At 36.4% G+C, this 21,116-nt stretch overlaps 1 long non-coding RNA gene across 1 annotated transcript in view; it reads right to left on the reverse strand.

Annotated features, from left to right (window-relative positions):
• Window positions 1-931: 931 nt before the first annotated feature.
• The window catches only part of LOC101927414 (uncharacterized), a 55,601-nt gene continuing 35,416 nt past the window's right edge, over window positions 932-21,116 (reverse strand). The window contains exons 3-4 of the long non-coding RNA NR_187911.1: window positions 4,032-4,126; window positions 932-1,160 (exon numbers count right to left, since the gene is read on the reverse strand). This is a non-coding gene — a long non-coding RNA (uncharacterized LOC101927414). The remainder of the gene's footprint in view (window positions 1,161-4,031; window positions 4,127-21,116) is intronic.

A 21,116-nucleotide genomic window follows, 5' to 3' on the forward strand; every position in this document is an offset into this window, starting at 1 on the left:
CAAAAAGGCATGACTCACCAGGGACATCTTTCTAAATGGTTTCATGAACATTTTTACCAGTGGCTCATGCTTATGCAGAAAAGCTGGACTGGATGATAACTGAAAGAGTTTGTTATTCCTTAGCAGCTGTTCTGCTCATCCTACAACTGAAATTCTCATAAAAAATAATGGTTATGCCACGTACTTTCTCCCAAATGTGACTTCATAATTCATCCATGTGACTAGGGTGTCCTTAGATCAATGAAGAGCAAATATAAAAACACTTTCTTGAACAGCAGGCTAGCATCAGTGAACAGGGTGAGCGTGTGGAAGGTTTTCAAAAGGAGTTTAGCAAGAAAGATGCCATCTATGCTGTTGCCAATACTTGGAACAGAGTGAATAAAGACAGTTGTGCATGCCTGGCACAATCTCTGGCTTGTGACTATGTTCAGTGATAACGATAAACAAGGTCATGACTTTGAAGGATTTTGTATGGTAAGTGAGAAAAAAAAATGATGTCTGACCTCCTTATATGTATAAAAAATACACCTGTAGAGCATGCTTGTGCAATCTGCAGCCCACAGGCCCAGGATGGCTTTGAATGCAGCCCAACACAAATTTATAAACTTTCTTAAAACATTATGAGTTTTTCTGCAATTTTTTTTAGCTCATCAGCTATCATTATTGTTAGTGTATATTATGCGTGGCCCAAGACAATTGGTCTTCCAATGTGGTCCAGGGAAGCCAAAAGATTGGACACCCCTGCTTTAGAGTCTATTAGTAAGCTGAAAGAAGTGTGTATTCAAGTTTCTAACACGGATCATGAGGCATGAGGTTCCAGTTATTCATTCATTGACTGATGGTGAAATGGCTTTGAATCAAGGTGATTGTGATAATAGTGATGATAATGGTGACGTTGTTAACACTGCAGAAAAAGTGTCTACAGGCAAAATGGTGAAAACATGTTGTGGGTTTATTGAAGGACTAGAGCAGCATGCATTTATAGCAGAGCAACAAATCATGTTTGTAAAATCGAAGAGAGACTCTTGAGACTCAAACCATTGTTAATGAGGCAGATAACTCTGGAGGAAACATTTTAAAATGTTATCCAAAAGAACTTCTGTTCATCCTTTGAGGACCCACGTCCTGGTCTCTCAACTGCTTCTGATGTTTCTTCTCACCTGAAAACATACAGTGTACACTAACCTTTTAATCAAAACACAGGATCATAGGTGGAGGTTGAAATCCTGCTGTTGTTTGTTGCTGCTGTTGTTTAACAGCTGATATAGGCATCTGGTGATATGACTGTGCTGCTTACTTACTCTGAACACATTATTTTTTCACTGTATTAATGGTATATCATATATTTTACTGTTAAGTACTTACTTATGTGTGTGTAAGTGTACAAAAATGACTGCTTATGAGTAACATATAAATTCAGAGTCAGGAATGATGGTGATGCTAAAGAATCACAGATTGTCCCCATGGGGGGCTGAGATAGTGATACCTTTGTCTTATGATGATTCAATATACACATGCTCAAAATCAGTACAATTTTATTAAAATTATTTGTTTTAACAAATATCTTTGTTTCATGCTCAAAACATTGTCTCATGCTCAAAATTATTTAAAATATTGTATAAAATTATATCCTCACTATTTACATAATATATATATGAGACATAAGTGAGTTTTGTATTTAAACTTGGGCCTCATCCCCAAGATATCCCATTATATATATGCAAATATTCCAAAATCCAAAAATTCCAAAATTGAAAATAATTATTGTCCCAACATATCCGATAAGGAATAGTCAACCTATATTCCGAAGTCTTCATCAGGACAGAGCAGTCAAGTGATAACTTTATGTATCCTAAAGCAGTGAGTCTAAAATCCAAGGCCATTTAATTTTTGTAACCACTTGAATTTTTTCCTTATTTTTATAATAAGTAAATACTTCCCAGTTTTACCCAAGGAGATGTCCACATTTTTGCTATGACAATGTACAATCCATATTCTGGTTCTCAGTTTCTTTTTTTTTTAATAATGGAAAATAGCAAGGTGCATTTTACAGCAACTTCTAGTTCTGGAATAATGTAATCTGAAATTCTGGAATTAAATTATACCAATCTAAATTATCACTCCGCTTTGGAGAAAAGTAATATTTCTTATAATCTCCCATTCAGAAATTTATTATCCTAATGATTTAATAAAGCCAATGGGGGGAAGAAAACCCTAGAAAGGGTGTGTCCTTCAGTGTGAGACAGAAAACCCCAGTAAAGTAAAATCTCTCTTTTAACAGTTACAGTAGGCAGAATTCTAAAAGGATCCACAATGACCCATGCCCTTTTATAATCTCTTCTCCTTAAGTGTGAGTAGAATCTAAGAATATGAATCATGGGCAGAATCAAGGGATATAATTCCCATGATTGTTACTTTATACAGTAAAGGTTAAATAATGTAATTAAGAACCTTAATCTGGGTTGGGTCTGATGTATAATCAGGTGAGTCATTTAAAAGCAAGTTTAGGCTTTCTCTGAGTTCAGAGAAGTCTTAAAAACGCAAGCTCCAAAAATTAAAGTGAAAAAAAAAAGACACAAGCTCCCATGAGTTCTACATCGGCAAGAAAATTAATTCTACCAACAATCAAATAAGCTTAGAAGTGGATTCTTCCCCAGTCAAGTCTTCACATTAGCCCTCAATGATGGCTGACACCTTTATTGCAGTCTGTGAGATCCTGAGTGGAGGACCCAGTTCAGCTGTGCCCAGACTCCTGACTCATGAAAACTGTGAGATACCACATGAGGTGTTTTAAGCTATTAAGTTTGTGGTAATTTGTTATATAGTAATAAAAAGCTCTTTTAAGAGTTTTCGATCCAATTAAAATAACATACATTATAGACCAAAATATTTACTCTTACAACATAGATGAGATACTTTGCTCCTACATTATTGACCAAAATATTTACTCTTAAAACATAGATGACATAGATAATGCTTTAGTGAATTTTCTTCAAGGATATTTCTAAGAGTAATTGCTTTAGTTGGTAAATTTCTTATACCAAGCACAAACATGCCAACCGTGCTGCCACCTGATGGCATCTGATCTAGCTGTAGAGATCACTGGGCATATGGGCTTTGGCAGATTTGAAGTTTTATTACAGCCAGATGAACTCCACTTCTCCTCTGCAACACCCAGTTTTGAGGTTACTGGTCAGCTTTGTCACTGGCACCTGTTTCCTACAGTATTCTAAGTTGGGGTGGAAGCAACACATTTCTGACTCTCAGGACTAAAGTGAGGCATCCAAACTGAAACCTTGTGACATCCCACTCACACCCCAACTTTCACTTCCTTAAGACTTTTAGTGATTTTTCTAAGCCCCCAAATTTTTGCATTAAACCTTTTTCTGTTCAAATTACCTAGCATGGTTTCCATTTTCCTGACTGATGCATAACTGGTCATGACTGAAATATAACAATAATTGAATTAATGTCATTTTAATTAATTAGATAATTAATTAGATGACAGCTGTTACTTTATTAGATTTGATAGTAATAAGTGAAATCATACAATTCCAAGTTTTTAACACTTGAAGGTTTGAATCCACATTGACACTCTTCCTGATTTCATGATACACTTATAGAATCTCCAACTCTATTATAGCTTATTTATGCCTTTGGCATCTGCAGGAATGCTTTGGAAAGGAAAACGTAGTTAAGCAAATTCTGGGATGTGTTTAAAAAGTTAAAGTAGCTCAATTTAGAATTCTTGTTGCAACTTACTTCTCACATCCCTTCACTTTGGACAGAATTACCATTGTAGGTGAGTTGTTCATGACTAAAATAAACATAGTAGTCTTAGGTATTCCTTTGTCAAACAAGGCAGTTTAGTGCTGAGCACATATTAGCTTATTTTATTTTTCGGTTATTCTTTATCTTGGTGTAGTTTACAGATTTATGAGTAATAATGCATCACTTAATGTGGTATATAGAGAATTTACAAGTAAATATAAGAACTTTTTGAAGTTGTATAAAGAGATAGAGAAGCATACCTTGAGACTCTTAAAATCACAATATGTGTGTGCTTAGCCTCTCTCCTGCTCTTTCAGACTTCCAAGGTTGTCACACGGTTTTCATGTAACCAATGCTGTAAAAACAATGATTCAAAACTTTACCCTCAAGTCATTTACATGAATAAATATTCAATATACATTTCCAATTGGACTTAATTTCTCTACTCTCACGGACTGAGAGGTATGGGTATGTATATTAACAGTCTCACAACTTCCTAGGACTTTCCTAGCCTGTGTGAGACAAGCTATCTCACTGCAACAGGCACACGAAATGAAGGCTTTTCAAAGACCATCTCATGGTACTGAATATGAAATCTGGTGTCTCACAGTGCAAAGCATAACCACTTAGCTGTTTCTTTTAAGCTCCATTTCTCCCAACAAAAGGCTATTCTTTAGCTCTGTAGTTCAGTTCACAACAGTATAATGAGAATCTTTGATGTCTAAGCAGGCTTAAATACAGCACAGAAACACAAAGTTCATATCGCTGTATGTGTTTATGCGTTTGGTCAAACAATAAATTCTAGGCCTTGAATAGGGATCAGCCAATTTAATAGAGACATCTTATCCATCATGTCTAAAGTACAATTTATGAGAAAACCTGAAAGTTTTTACATCAAAACTTCTGTGAACAAAATGTTAAGAGTTTGCAGTGGGCCGGGCGCGGTGGCTCACGCCTGTAATCCCAGCACTTTGGGAGGCCGAGGTGAGTGGATCATGAGGTCAGGAGATCGAGACCATCCTGGCTAACAAGGTGAAACCCCGTCTCTACTAAAAATACAAAAAAGTAGCCGGGCGCGGTGGCGGGCGCCTGTAGTCCCAGCTACTCGGGAGGCTGAGGCAGGAGAAGGGCGTGAACCTGGGAAGCGGAGCTTGCAGTGAGCCGAGAATGCGCCACTGCAGTCCGCAGTCCGGCCTGGGCGACAGAGCGAGACTCCGTCTCAAAAAAAAAAAAAAAAAAAAAAAAGAGTTTGCAGTGACAGATTCAGGGGAGTTTTATGTTTATGATGCTTTTCATTACTTTCTATTACATATCACTTACTGAAAAGGGTATTTAAAAGAACATACAAGGGAAATTTATCCATGTATTGGAATTATTATTAAGAGTTAACCACATTTTAGTATCTCTTAACTAATACTTGTTCTTGAAAAATTAATGTAATGTAATTTCTGTTCTGCAAAAAACAATGTCAAGAGAACAACAACAACAACAACAACAACAAAAAACAACCCAAAGACTGGGAGGAAATATTTGCAAAAGACATATTTGTTAAAGAACTGTTATCCAAAATTTGCAAAAATTCTAAAAATTCAACAATTAAAAAAATAAATAGCCAGAATAAGAAATGGACCGAAGATCTTTACAGACACCTCATCAAAGAAGATGGGAAATAGGCATTTAAATAATTATCCACATTATATGTCATCAGGGAAATGTAAATTAAAATAACTATTAGAATGGCTGAAATCCAAAACACTGACAACACCAAATGCTAGCAAGGATGTGGAGCAATAGGAACTCCCATTCATTACTGGCGGAAATGCAAAATGATAACGGCAACTTTGAAAGGCAGTTTGGTGGCTTTTTATAAAACTAAACATAATCTCACTATATGATCCAGCAATTGTACTCCTTGGTATTTACCTAAAGGAATTGAAAACATGTCCACACAAAAATCTGCACATGGATGTTTGAAGCAGTTTTATTTATAATTGCCAAAAGTTGGGAACAACCACAATGTCCTGCAGTTTATTCATTCAATGAATGAATAAACAACCACAATTAATTCAATGAATGAATAAACAACCATAATGTCCTACAATCTGCACACAGATGTTTGAAGCAGTTTTATTTATAATTGCCAAAAGTTGGAAAAAACCACAATGTCCTACAGTTTATTCATTCAATGAATGAATAAACAAACATGATTCATTCAATGAATGAATAAACAACCACAATGTCCTACAGTTTATTCATTCACTGTATACTATATAATTCCAACTAAATGACATTCTGGAAATGGCAAAATGATGGGAACACTAAAATGATCAGTGGTTGATGAGGTGGAGTGGGGGATGGGTTGAATAGATACAATACAGACGATTTTCAGAGCAATGAAAATATTATGTATGATACTATATTGATGGGTACATATCACTATACATTTGGCCAAACCCATAGAATGTACACCAAGAGTGTCCCCTAAAGTAAACTGTGGACTCTGGGTGATTATGATGTGTCAGTGTGAGTTCACCAATGGTAACAAACATACTACCCTTGTGGGGAACGTTGATAATGGGGGAGGCTAACCATTTGTGAGGGCAAGAGCAATTTGGGAAATCTCTGTATCTTCTTAATTTTGCTGTGAACCTAAAGCTTAAAAGATATATAAAACTTCTAAATGAAGATATAAAAAAATAAATTAATGCAATAGAGGAAAGTATTGTATATAATGGTTCACATTTCACTTTGTCATATAAAGAAGTTTCAGACTTAACAAATAAAAACATGGATCTCTTTACTGAAAAAAAGAAATTAAAAAACAATGTTAAGGCTGTAGTTAGAGGCTGCTAGCTAGACATTAAGTAGAGATTATGTGTTGGATTCTAGCAAAGCTTGCACTTTTCCAAACCATCACCTGTACCACAAATTAGCTCTGATTGGATATTTAAAAAAATATAAACCCTAAGCATCTTATGACAGCAATCAAGAAGAAGCCTGTGGAGGTCGGGCATGGTGGCTCACGCTTGTAATTTCATCACTTTGGGAGGCCAAAGAAAGCAAATAGCTTATGCTCAGGAGTTCAAGACCAGCCTGGGCAACATGGTAAGACCCTGTCTCTACTAAAAATACAATAAAAAAAAAAAAAAAAAAAAGGCAGGCATGGTGGTGCATGCCTGTGGTTGTGGTTTCAGCTATTCAGGAGGCTGAGATGGCAGGAGTGATTGAGTCAGGAGGGTAGAGGTTGTAGTGAGCTGTGATCGCACCATTGCACTCCAGCTTGGATGATAGAGTAAGATCCTCCCCCACCACCCCTACACCCCACAAAAAAAGCCCACTGAGCTGGGCAATTCTGCTACCTCCACTAGAGAAACAACTACGTGGTTATAATTCACTGAAGGTAAGTAATAGAATGCTTGGTTTTAAAACTAAACAGAAGTTTACAAGTAATCCAGCTCAATTTATTCATTTGTATTTATATTTTTATAGGCATAATACAAGCATATGATAAGAAACATCCAAATGAATTCAAACACACATATACATATATAATTTACATTATATGTGTGTTTGTATGTGTATTCACATGTACATATCAATGTGACAACAGTAAAACAAAATTAACAATTTTTATTTCCTACTAAAATAAGGACAAAGTATATACTATGGGGGGGGCTATATTTTAAAAGTCTAAATTCAAATTTTACAAGTCTACATAGATTCTACCAATCTGTTGGATGATACAAACATTATCACTTATATCAGTGTTTTGTAACACATGATTTGCAGAACATTAGTGAGTTGTGAGATCAATATAGTAGGTCATTAAGAGCCGTTTTTAATAAAACCAAATAGAATAGAATACAAAAATAACAGAGTGCATTACTCATGCTTAGGGTAAGTTTTGTTTTATAAAGCTATTTCTTAACTTTCATTTAACTTGTATGTTTAACTTTATTTAATTTAAGCATATATCTGTGTATCCAATTGTAATGTAAAATGTAACTTTTACTATAGTCATAGTAAAATGAAACTAAAAAAGTTTCAAAGCCACTTACCACTGATTTCCCTAAGAAATGTATCCTATGGTGAGGTGGAACAAAAATAAGAAAACAAAGTGTGATTATAGGTTGAAAGAAATACAATGATAGTAAAATACAATATATATTCATAGAAAATGTCTTTGGAAATGGAATGATAGAAGAACTATTTTGCTAATTAAATGCATCATGGCAAGCCATATCAAAGAGCTTTATATTATTGAGAAAGTTTGTGTTATAGAGACAAGATCTCCGTCTCCCCATCAGTTTTTTTCATAGTAATTATGCCTTTTTGAGGCTATTTGTTCACAACTCACCTCCATTATCCACAAACTGAGCCAAAAGAAAATTATAAAAGCATGAAGTATATGAAAAAAATACCACCACCACCCTCCCATTGGTTCCTGATGATAATGTCAATAATGAGAGAAGAGTTCTTGGCACTTCTTCATGCTGGTGTTGAAAGAGTGAAGAAGATTATTTTATTTTATATTATTCTCAGCTGCAGGCATTGGATTACAAGCCTTTTAATAGTAGCTTTTCAAATAGATGAAATGGACCTATCTTGAAATAAAAAATGAATGCTGGCTCTATTCCTTGATGCAAATGACAGCCATTGCTCAGCCTACTGATGTTCCTCTTCTCTTTTATACACTGAGGAGATGGGATTAAAAGAGGACACATGTATCTAATGCAGGTCCTCCACTAATGCTGTGGCTGGTACACAATAATGATCAACTGTCTCCAAAAGAGGAGTAGTATATGAAGGGTTAAAAATCAAAATTTGGGGCTAAGACTTCTGATAATCAATAACAGTCATAGTAAAACCAACATGCAAAATAATATTTGTGGTACAAATGCAATAGATGATGGAGTAAATTTTTAACATACAAAAGGCAATGGCATTCCCACAAGTTCTGATTAAGCTGTTTTCAGCTAAGTAGTATTAAGTGTAAGTAGCAAGCCTAAGGGTTGCATTGCAGGCAGTCTACTGATCTCAATAATAAATCCTGGATTTATTTGAGAGCTGAGGTTGCAAACTGCAAATCCCAATCACCAGTGCTCAGAAGCAAAATCCAAATCCAAATTCCAAACTCTGAGCTAGTGTATATTCTCTTTTGAATTAGAAAAACATTACAGGTCAAGCTCCCCCCAAATTTAGCCTCCCAGTTCCAGGCACAGAAGAAACTATATAATTTGGGGATTATAAAAACCATAACATGAATATTGCTTTGGATTTTGATCACACATAAAAAATGAGTTAATTTCAGAGACATATGCTCTTAGTGAATAAGACATAGAAAATGAAACCTCTTTCTGAAAATAACTTCTAGATTTATCTGTGATCACTTTTCTGAGTTCCATTTATATATTGAAATTAAGCTTCTTAATTTTCTTCCCTGTAGAAAAAAAAAATGGTGTGCCAAGTTTTATGATGCCATTAACAGAGTCTTTGATTGCTGAAGTTGCAACAGCATAAATTGTCATGTCTGTGACAATAAAAACTGACCCTTGGAGATTATATATTTCTAAATGTGGTATTATCTACACACACAGAGTGAAAATAGAATTGAGACAAGACATGTGACTGGATAAATCAGTCTAAAGAACATGCCTGCTATTTTAATCAAGGGCAGTCTCAAATTTTCTAGATCATGTCTAAATTTTCAAATTTCTCATTTTATTTATAAATAAAGCTTCTGTGCATTAGCCCAAAGTTTTACTTCTTGAATATTATATCATTCCTTAAATCTTGAGAGAAAATAAAGTCAGATAATTACTTATTATTTAATAATTAACACTCATTCAATAATTTCTACCAATCATAAACTGCTCACTAGCCTTTACCTAAACTTTCCTGCTTAATTATCAAAACAACACCTGAATATCCATACGATGGAGTAATTATGTCACACAAAACAACAAGAGTAAATTTTAAACGCTTTCTAAGTGAAGGAAGCTGGACACCAATGTGTATGCAACATATGATTGCCTTCATATGAATTCTTTTTTTTTTTTTTTTTTTGAGACAGAAGGAGTCTCATTCTGTGGCCAGGCTGGAGTGCAGTGGTGCGATCTCGGCTCACTGCAACCTCCACCTCCCGGTTCAAGTGATTTTTCTGCCTCAGCCTCCCAAGTAGCTGGGATTACAGGCACACACCACTACACCCAGCTAATTTTTGTATTTTTAGTAGAGACGCGGTTCCACCATGTTGGCCAGGATGGTCTAGATCTCCCCATCTCGTGATCCGCCCGCCTCAGCTTCCCATAGTTCTGGGATTCCAAGCGTGAGCCACTGGGTCCGGCCCATATGAATTCTTAAAAAATGAAACTACAGTAACAAGAAGATCAGTGGTTGCCAGGGACTGGGCTTCAGGGAGGAAATGACTACAAAGTGGCAACCGGGAACTTTTTAGGGAAATGCAAATATTCTGTATCATGCTAGTGTTGGCAGTTATGCTACTGTACACATTTATCAAAAGTCATCACAAAAAGACCTACATTATATTGTATAAAAAGTATATACCAATAAAGTTGATTTTGAGAATTAAAAAAAATCACTTGAATGTTATACATCTATCTTTTCCTTTTTTTAAAGAACAGACTGAGGTTGAACTTGAATAACTTGCACAAGGTCACAGTCAGTATACTAAACCCACACTTGATCGGCCCCAAGACCATGAACTCTACACAGTCAGGTAAGCTTTCTCCATTACCTCTTCTGCGTCTATGACTTGTGTCTTGTATAGAAGAGACAGTCGACATACACTTATAAGGCATATATAAATAGGTGCCTGGAAACCCAAGTTCTGTCTCCTCTATGGCACAATCTTGTGTCATAGTAGATTGTCTCTTCTCATGGTATTCTATTTCTTTAGGAAAATCTGAATTGAAAAAGCAAAAGTTCCCCCAAGTGGTGAAGATGGTATATCAGTATAACAAATTTCTCATAAACTATTAAATGATATGCTATAATATTTACCTTTCAAATCAGAAGTAATCTATTCTGGAGGATTGAAGTATGACTTTCTTGCTGGTGGTGAATATCTTCCATAAAATTCCTTTGCTTTCTTATGCATTTCTGAATAAGGATTTCAGAAATTTATATTAATATTTTCTTTTTAGGATGATATGCCTTGGCCTTTCTCTCTATAGATCTCTATAATGAGTTTCATTCAAGATTTGCACACATTGAACATGGTATAACTATTCAATGTTTGTTCAAGAGGCCTAGCTTTGACCTGTCTGATTTTCATTCTGTTTATAAATGACCTTGCATCCTACTGCATAATCTCTGAGCATACCCAATGCTTTTGGTTTTCTTTCTCAGATTTCAGATGCCGCAATCTCTCCTTGCATCTAAAACACCCAAGTTTACCAGACAGAGTTTCTTATAAACAATTTAAATGTGGTTGTCAAAAATCCATGCCAGCTGCTTCAGCTTCCTTTACAATATTCAGGGTAATTAACATCTGCAAACTGCAAGGAAATAAAATTTCTCTCTTTCTCTTGTTCTGTGTCTCTGTCTCTCTTTTCAAAGACTTCCAGACTTACTACTTGTGTTTATTTCAGGTTGATGAAAGGTATAATTTAAAGAATAGCCTTTCTTCTCCTTTCCTGCAAAATCAGCAGCTTTGAATAGGGATAAAGATTGCTTCTGTATGAAGATCATTCAAGATGCCATTTTAAAACAGAAAATAGAATCAGACATAAAAATGCAGAAGTGTGTTTGGATTAGAAGCATTTCTTTTCAAGAATTGTAAGTCTTGTGCTATTCACTAGCTGGAAAATATCTCCAAATTGTCTATTGTATTTGCATTTAATGTAAGGAAGAAAAATATTCAAAGCAATACCAAGAGCAATGGAGCAATAATCATGTGTACATGAGTGAAGAAAACTCACTCCATCCCAATTATTTAAAAACATGCAGCTAGTCATTTCACGCCTTGCAGGAAGTGTATGATGTGGACACAGAATCCAAGAAGAAAGAGAATGTATTATTCCAAGTGCTAGCTTGGTCAAACTACTAATAAATTCATCTTAAAAAAGAATTAGGGATGCCTTTCCTTGTAGCACTTGACTTACAGGCTTCAGATGCATCAATTCATATGCACCATTGTACCTGTCACTGACAGTGGTTAGAAGTTAAGATGCTTCCACTCCAGTAAAAACACTGCTGTGCTTTTTTTTTTTTTGAGATGGACTCTTGCTCTGTTGCCAGGCTGGAGTGCAGTGGCATGATCTTGGCTCACTGCAACCTCCACTTCCCAGGTTCCAGTGATTCCCCTGCCTCAGCCTCCCTAGTAACTGGGATTACAGGCGCACACAACCACACCCAGCTAATTTTTGTATTTTTAGTAGAGACGGGATTTCACCATGTTGTCCAGGACGGTCTCGATCTCCTGACCTCGTGAGGAGGCACTTGGCCTCCCAAAGTGCTGGCATTTCAGGCGTGAGCCACCGTGTCCGGCCACTGCAATGCTTTTTATAATAGAAAATGCTGATAAGGAAACTGAAATTGGTTAAGGAACGAGGATAATAATTTTTTAGGAGTCTAAAAATTGTAGTGTACATGTATACTCTTGGTGACAGTATAGATACATTTTGACAGCAAGCAATTCAGAGTAAACCACAAAGGAAAATGAACATAAGAGCTTCCTGAAATAACTTAGGATAGCCATATTTGGCAAGAAAAATACAGAACCCAGTTAAATTTCAACTCTGTGTAGATGAGATAATTTTTAAAATACAAGTACTTCTATGACTATTTGGAAATGCACTTACAGTCCTAAACTCTTGTTTGTCTGAAATTTAACTGGATGTTCCACATATTATCTGTCAGCCCTAATTTTAGTATAAAAATTAGTGTAAAAGCAACGCTATGAGTAACTCTGCAAGTACTAAACTGACTTCAAAACTAATATACCAAGTATTAGGATCCAAGTAATCAGTGTTTGGGGACAAGAAGATGAAGCTTTTATTTGTCCAATGAACAGCAAGAAAAATAAAAATAATGAGTTAAGTTTGTAATAAAAGCAGAAAAATTCAATTAAATAAATGAACTTTAGAAGAAATAACATCTTCTTATTGTTTTAAAATATCCTTAGTTGATGAAATAAAAAAAGATGACATTACAACATTGGTCCTTCTTTTTCAGGTCTGTAAAATCAAGAAGTGTTAGTATTACTCGATTCTACTGATGTTTTTTCATCATCTGAAGTCGTATTGTTTTGTGTCTGGTTAGCGTTAAAATAAGAAAATTGTGTTGAACATAGACACACACAACCACACTTCGTATTTCATAGCAGTTTAAGATTCACAGAAAAATTAAGTGGCAGGTACAGAGATTTCCCATATGCCTTCTGCCCTACACATGTACTGATACTCCTCGACTTAGGATAGGGCTACATCCAGATAAAACTGTACTAAATTAAAAACAGTAAGTCCAACGTGCATTTTCAACTTCTGATATTTTTAATTTAGCCTGGGTTTATCTGGACTTAACCCCACAGCAAATGGAGGACAGTACTAAATGCATGTTGCTTTCACACCATCTTAAAGTTGAAAAATTGTAAATCGAGCAATTGTTTAAGTTGGAAAATGTCCACATAGCCTCTCCCGTTATCAACATCCCTACCACTGTTTTACTGGGTAACCTGTGTCCACATGATTACAGTTCTTTTTCTGCTTTGGCCCAATCACCACCACACTGAAGTAAAACTACTCTGCTATTATTTGTAATAAAATCTATGCCCCTCCCAACATAGGCTTGTGCTCTCAATTTACTACTGATTATAATGGCCATCTAGATTGGAACCACTTAGGCCCTTGATAGCTACCACCTTATTCCAATTTACTGTCTCCTATGCAGCTGTAACAGCCTCTTAACTGATTCCTCTCCTTTAACTGTTGTTCCACTTCTCTTTACGTGAAGTAGCTCTCTGATATTTTAAAAATACAATCAGATAGCATCACTTCCTTATTCAAAACCTTCTAGTGGACTCTCATCACCCTTAGAATAAAATCCCAATTAATGACCAAGCCCTAATGATTTAGACTTTAATACTTCTTGAGCTTGATTTCTATCACTCCCTCCCAACACTGTCTCTTGTTTCTCCAATGTGCCCATAGTTCATCCCCTCTGGAGGGCATTATCTTGCTGTTTCTTTTCTTTTCTTTTACTTTTTTTTAGAGACAGGGTCTCATTCTGTCACCCAGGCTGGAGTGCAGTGGTGCAATCCCTGCTCACTGAAACCTCTGCCTCCCAAGTTCAAGCAATTCTCCTGCCTCAGCCTCCCAAGTAGCTGGAAGACATGTACAACCATTCCTGGAAAATTTTTGTATTTTTAGTAGAGATGGAGAGTCACCATGTTGGCCAGGCTGGGCTGTTTATTCTCTATTGAACTTTTTTCTGCAGATTATTTTTTCATTGCTCATTTGCTCTGCTCATTCAAGTCCAGGCTCTGCTATTACTGCTTCAGAGATTCTTTTGCTAATCACACTGTATATGTAATAAATCATCACCTAGCCCCATATACACTTTACACACTTTACTTTTATCTCCTTATCTTTCTTTATTTTTCTTACTAGTAGTTCTAAATACCCCAAACTAGTTATTTGTTGTATAACTCTACACATTAGAAAACGAGGGCAGTTGGCCGGGTGCGGTGGCTCACGCCTGTAATCCCAGCACTTTGGGAGGCTGAGGTGGGCAGATCAACTGAAGTCGGGAGTTGGGGACCAGAATGACCAAAATGGAGAAACCCTGTCTCTACTAAAATACAAAATTAGCCAGGCATGGGTGGCGTGTGCCTGTAATCCCAGCTACTCGGGAGGCTGAGTCAGGAGAATCACTTGAACCCGGGAGACGGAGGTTGCAGTGAGCTGAGATCGCCCCATTGCACTCCAGCCTAGTCAACAAGAGCAAAACTCTATCTCAAAAAAAACAGAAAAGAAAATGAGGGCAGTTAAAAAATAAGCTTGTGTCTCCAAGTCACTTCTTTAGCCCCATTACCTAGCATCTAGTAGGGTCTCAATAAATAGTTGTGAAATGAGTAAATAAATTGAACATTCTTTGGCATAGAAGCCCAGCCTAAGTCTCTTAAGAGCCTGTATCAAAAGACGAAGTGAGTAAAATGATCTTGGTTGTATTTTAAATTACCCCTTCCTTATGATCACACACTGTGCCTTCTTATTTATTCCTTTTCAAAAGAATTTTAGTGTCTCTTGAGAACACTGACCTGGAGGTTAAGAAGCATCCATTGCATAAAGGTATTTGTTTCAGGGGTTAAAGGAATATTCATGCAAATTGAGCTTTACTTCTTGTGCTGCTAGCCTGTCATATTTTACCAAACCATAAAAGGAGATTATAAAAGACATACAGCAAAGTCCTTATTCTAAAATTCTTGCTCTAACTGTACAAAGAAAAATGAAAACTTTCTCACGAGCCAGAATAATTGTTCTTCCAACTAATTTAACAGGAATTTAATAAAGATACTTAAGTATTGTTTTCCCAACTGGGGCCAAAATACATTCCAAAAATATAAATCACCTAAGATCATTTTGTTTGAGGGTTTCTTGCACTGAATGATCCAAACAGATCACAGCATCATTGAATAGCATGGAAGGGAGGGTTTATATACATGTTAGACATAAGCATGCAGGAAAACTTAAGGATGAGGGAGATTTTCCAAGGGGTTGGTCATATATAACATGAAAAACATCAATAGAATATGCCTAGCATAGACTAGCTGTTCAACAAATATTTGTTGAATAAATAAGAGATAGAATAAAAAATACTTTAACTCACTTTTCCTCTTTGAAACATTTGAAAAGCTGTAGTTTATTGAAAATACTGAGTCTGGAAGCTCACAAATTTTTTTTTTTTTTTTTTTCTCACAAAATCCAAGAGTCTATTTTAATTCTCCACCATTTCAACCTAATAGATGCCTCCTTGAAATAATCTCTTCATTTGTTATTCTGACACTGCACAAACCTGAGTCCCTTTTCAGTTTTTGTGTTTTCTTCCTACTCTATCCCTTTTGATTTCTTCTCTCCCTCCTACTATCCCATATGTCTAAGATTCTCTATGGCCATGTATTTACCCATGACCCTTTAAGTTCACTTTCCCAGAGTGTTCATACATTTTGATAGCTTTAAATATTTCCTCTATGCTGATGACTCAAATAGCATTTCCAGTCCTCACTATTCAATGATGCTTCAGTTCCAAGACTCAAAAATCCTGCTGCCAAATTTCTGATTCCAAAGAAAAATGTTTTTCAAGAATTTGCAGTGAGTCCACTTTGCCCCCAAGTGATATTTACGCAAGGACGCTTAGAATTTACAGCGTGTTTCTTTACTTGTTTTTCCCAGTATGAACCCTGACTTACCAACGCCTTCTCCACAGCCATGTCCATGGTTTCATGAAGCTATTTTTCCTTCTCAGAAAACCTCCTACTCTTCACTAAATACACAAATCCAGCAGACTTTTAAAATGCCAGGTCCAATGGATGATTTGCTGTTTAAGCCAGGGAAAAAGAAAACCAAAAAAGCAAAACATGGGGCATGGAAGGAGGAGAATTTGTTTTCTATTTCAGTGGGTGACCCCAAGAAAAACTTCTCCCTAGGCCTTAGTTTTAACAGCACAAGGTATTGTGGGAGTTAATTACATGGTCATGTTCAGTTTTATTAGCTCTTTTTTATCTGAATATAAATATTCACTTAGAATAATTTGCCTTTTCCCCCCATTACACTCTATGTACAATCTTACTATTTTCCAACCTTAGCAATTCACCTGTTCTCCATAGGTTTTACTAGTGGAGATGGAAATACTCACAATAAAAGTCTACATGATTATGACACTCTTACTTATAAGAACTCACCTACAAATGCTCAAGTTAAATTAAAAAAAATCTTTATATGTTACCAAAAATAAAAATAAAAATCTATCCATCACATGAAAAAACTAAAATACATTTTTTAGATAATTATTGGCTTAGTAAACTTAAAGCATCTAGAAATGAAATATTATTTTCTTCTAGCAAAAGAATTAAAATAACAAATGCTGTTTTGACATTTTTGTCATCTAAACCAAAACAAAGATTTGAAGCTAAGCTTTGTTGGCCCACATCTCTAGCCACTGATGTGATCAGTAGGTGATCACTTTCCTCAGATTTGATTGATCATTATACAATGTTAAATATTCTAGTTGTTTCTAAGAAAAAATATCTCCTAGGGATGAAAAACTACCTAATTTTATAAAACTTGATTTAGATAGAAAAAGCCCTCTTCTCAGTAAGGAAGCAGTGGCTGTTAGTCTTCTTATGGTAGGGTTTTCTCTTGATAGAAAAAGCACACTTAACGTCAGGCCAGGCCACTGCTCATTGTGGTTAGGTTACATTATACCACATATGTCGACCCCCTTGTACTATAAGGACTACATCACTGTAGAGGAAACCTGGAATTAAAACTGTGTGTCTGCATGTGAGAGAGAGGAATAAAGAGAATATGTGTGCATTGTGTAAATGTGTGTAAACATGCTATTCTATTCAAATGCAAATGGAACTAAAAATAAATTCATGGGTGGCAGAGTGAGTGGAGTATGAGTTCTTAACTGTCAACAAACTCAAAGGCTTTGAGAGTTCTGAACATGTTAGTGAGAGCAGTGGAAGGAAGAAACTGGTCAAGCAGGCAGTTAGGGTGGGTCCTTGGTAAAACTCCTTCAAACCAAGAATAGCCTGAAAGTCAAACTGCGAGCCCCAGATAAGGAGCCTGTGTCCTTGAATGGAAACGCTTACTCTGTGAACACAGATGAACAAATTCCACTTCTGTTTTAGACACATTTCTGTCTCCTTGATCTGCCTTAGTCTCCTGCTTTTCACCTATTTTACATACACCTACCTTTCTGTGATTGGCTGCTGAGAGAATCTTCATTTACATAGGGTGAATCATCACTCCAGCCCCTGATTGGTCCTGGGCCAAGGTCCCAGCCAAGCCTTCATTACAGCCCCTGACTGGTCCTAGGCCGAAGTCTTGGGCCAAGCCTTTACCTCTGCTTCCAACTGGTTCTTTTCACTATCATACCTCTTTCTGAGAGGTGCTTTCTCCAAGATGGCCTTCAGACCAGTCAGCACATTCCTCCCTCTTCCCAGTCCATAAAAACCCCTGGACTCAGCTTCATAGCTTGCAACCCTCTTTCGGGTCCCCTCTCTTTGCTGAGAGCTTTTCTGTTCCCTAATGAATCTAACTCTGCCTTGCTCACTGTCCATTGTCTGCATGCCTTAGTCTTCTTTGTCATGGGACGAGAACCCAGAGCTCACTGGTGGTAAGAGTGAAAGAGCTGCAACGCTCCCTCCCACTCGCAGAACAACAGGAGTGAAAAAGCTGTAACACTGACACTGAGAAATGCAGCACATTTAATTTTAAGAGATAATATCCATATCGATTTTCCCAAAAAATTCAGGAAATATCTAGACATAGAAAAGCATTACCTATCTGGGACTAAAGAAGTCAATATTTTCAATGTCAATAAATAGAAAACAAAAAAATAAGATGCCATAAAGAGTTTCAGCTATTGCTTCCAAAACTGAGATGTCTTATGTAATGAATTTACTTAATAATCTCAAATCACTGGTCATAAACACAAAACTGTTTTTTTTTTCAGTAACTGTCCACATCTATGCAATATTGAAGCTCATATTATTGGTGGATAAAAACTATATTTGTTAATAATTCTTTGGCCCAATCTCCTTATGTTCATTCACTTTCAATTATTCAGTCTCATCTTAGTTTTTACTTATCTCTATTCATTTAAAAAATTTATTTCATATTCTAAAATATATTCTTTTTTCCTTCAGTTAAATATGAGCTGAAGTTCTAATGGCTGCAAGATAGGATGGGTTTGATGTGACTCTCACACTTCTTCCTGTCTTCTTTTCTTGATACCAGCTTCTCAGTTATTGATGAGGGGAGAAGGAGAAGGAAAACACAGATCCTTTCTTATCTGACAGCTGCAACACACCACTCTCTCTCCCCACCCACTGCCCATCCCCACTGTTCTAGTATTTTGTTTACAGGTTCAATGTAGAGATATGGCAGCTCACTCTGAGCAGTGGCCTTGGGCATTGGTAGTTTCTTGAGAGTTTACCTGTTATTCCAGCAGAATTCCAGGATGTATATGGTCTCAAGTAACAAATCCTCTCTGCAGCAGTCTCAACAAAACTGAATCCTGATTGCATCCATCCTAGGGTTAATTCTAGGGTGGGCACCCGCAGGATCCTATCCCACACTGCCTGGGAAGTGAGAGTGTGGCCTCTGCCCAGGGCCCCTCTGCTGGGCCTCTCCCAGCATGCTCTCCCACAGTTTGCTTCTCTACTGTTTCATTAGCACAAGGCATGCTTACAACCAGAGTTCCAAAAATGTAACACAGTAAGTTTTACTTTCCTGGGTCTTCCCTCCAATTACTTAGCTTGGGAAAAATAAAGCAGCTGCTAGATTTCAAGAGACTAGGGTTACATCTTTGTACTGGGTAGCACTGAAGAAATTAGGTAACGTTTTGTTTTCATTCATAAAGACAGAGTTTTCAAGCTGACAAAAAATCTTTCTCTTCTTTTTTATCTACTTTGTCCTGTAAAGTTTCCATGACTTATTATATAAGACAATTTATAACTCCTGGTATCTTAGCATTTTTACAGCCGAGAAAGGCAGAACTGTGCACTTCGCGCAAGACAATAGGACTTGAAGCTCAGCAGGCATGTGATTTTGTAATAATGTCTAAGGAACAAATAGTTTTCAACTCTTCATGTTTATAGTGATGATTCCAGGCAGTTGTATTAGTTGATTTTTTTTAGTCTGTTTTTGAAAAGTTTAGTCTTGAGGTTTGATTCCTGAGAGAGAAAAAAGTACTTTATGCATCTTGAAGCAGGATGGCATTAAATTTCCTACTTCCTTCTCATTGTTTAGTTTAGCTGGTCAACACTCAGGGCTAACTGTGAATTGCCTTGGGAGTTTTAGGGAGGTTAACTATTGGGTTTCATCTCTAACTTCATGTAAAGCATCTGCAAATAATCAAGATACAGAAAGAAGCTCAGAATGGAGGCAGCCTTCGGGATTTGATTTAGCTAAACCTTCCTGTGAGCCACATTTCTTTGTTTACATACATTCCTGCTCTGAAAGCCAACTTCCTGTCATAAAGCTGCATACCAAATTTGAGTATTTAGAAAACAGTGTGGCTCAAACCATTATAACTCTGGAAACAGACTTCAAATAATTATTATTTTTAAAGGTTATGCTATAAAATGCAGCACCTCATTCTAACCTTCACAATTTAAATTATTTTCATATAACCGCACACATTTTTAGCACACACAGAGAGACAGAGAAAGTGAGTAAGTGTGAGAGAGAGAGAGAGAGAGAGAGAGAGAGAATCAGTGCTATTCTCTGCACAAAAAAATCTCTCTCAGGATAGACCTTGTTTGGAGACACCAATGAGACAGTACAAAGACTGAAAAGGAATGGAATGTATTTTTCAAAAGTGATAAATCCTTGAGAGAAGACACAATGTATGACCAATCCCATATGGTATAAATTTCAGCACTACAAGTTTCTCAGATAATTCAGATGTCATGGTTCCTTTGGCTCCTTCAATGTATTTTCGTTTTATCAGTTATTTTCCACTTTCTAGATCTTCTATATCTCTCTTCTTTTTCAAAATATTACTCAATACTTCCTTACCTGCTTTATCCTGATATTTCATTCTCTCTCCCAACAAATCTCTTCTTTTTCCTCCATGATACCTGTTTTTAGCATATGCTCTAGGTCCGTAGTTACACTCCTCCTATTCTAGCCTGCTACCGTCCAAGATAGAATTCATAAGGCTCAGTTTCAAGCCTATGACTAGATCTTATTAGATTTAATTAAATCAAACCTCAACTACCACCCAGAAGTTGTAGTTTGCAAGGTCATTGATGAACTGCCTGTTATTAAGTCAAAGAACAACGGGCAGTTTTCACCGTGTATTTATTATACTTTCTGTAGAATTTGGATCTGTTTGCAGCACTCTCCTTGAAAACTTATCCTTCCTCAGTCTCTATGACATTGTTGTTTCTGGGTTAATCATCATTGTGGGCTCCACTTCTTCCATCAGACTTTAAATCTTGGGGTTTTCTAGGATATCATTTTTAGATGTTGTTTTCTTTCTAAGCTGCACATATTTTCTATTTCTCTTCCATAGGTAGATGATGATTCCCAAATCTACATATATAGCCTGTGGTTTTCTCTCACTTTTTGTATCCTTTTAGTGACGAA

This window comes from Homo sapiens, chromosome 4 (genome assembly GCF_000001405.40).
Source record: "Homo sapiens chromosome 4, GRCh38.p14 Primary Assembly".
In the NCBI taxonomy this organism is placed as follows: domain Eukaryota; kingdom Metazoa; phylum Chordata; class Mammalia; order Primates; family Hominidae; genus Homo; species Homo sapiens.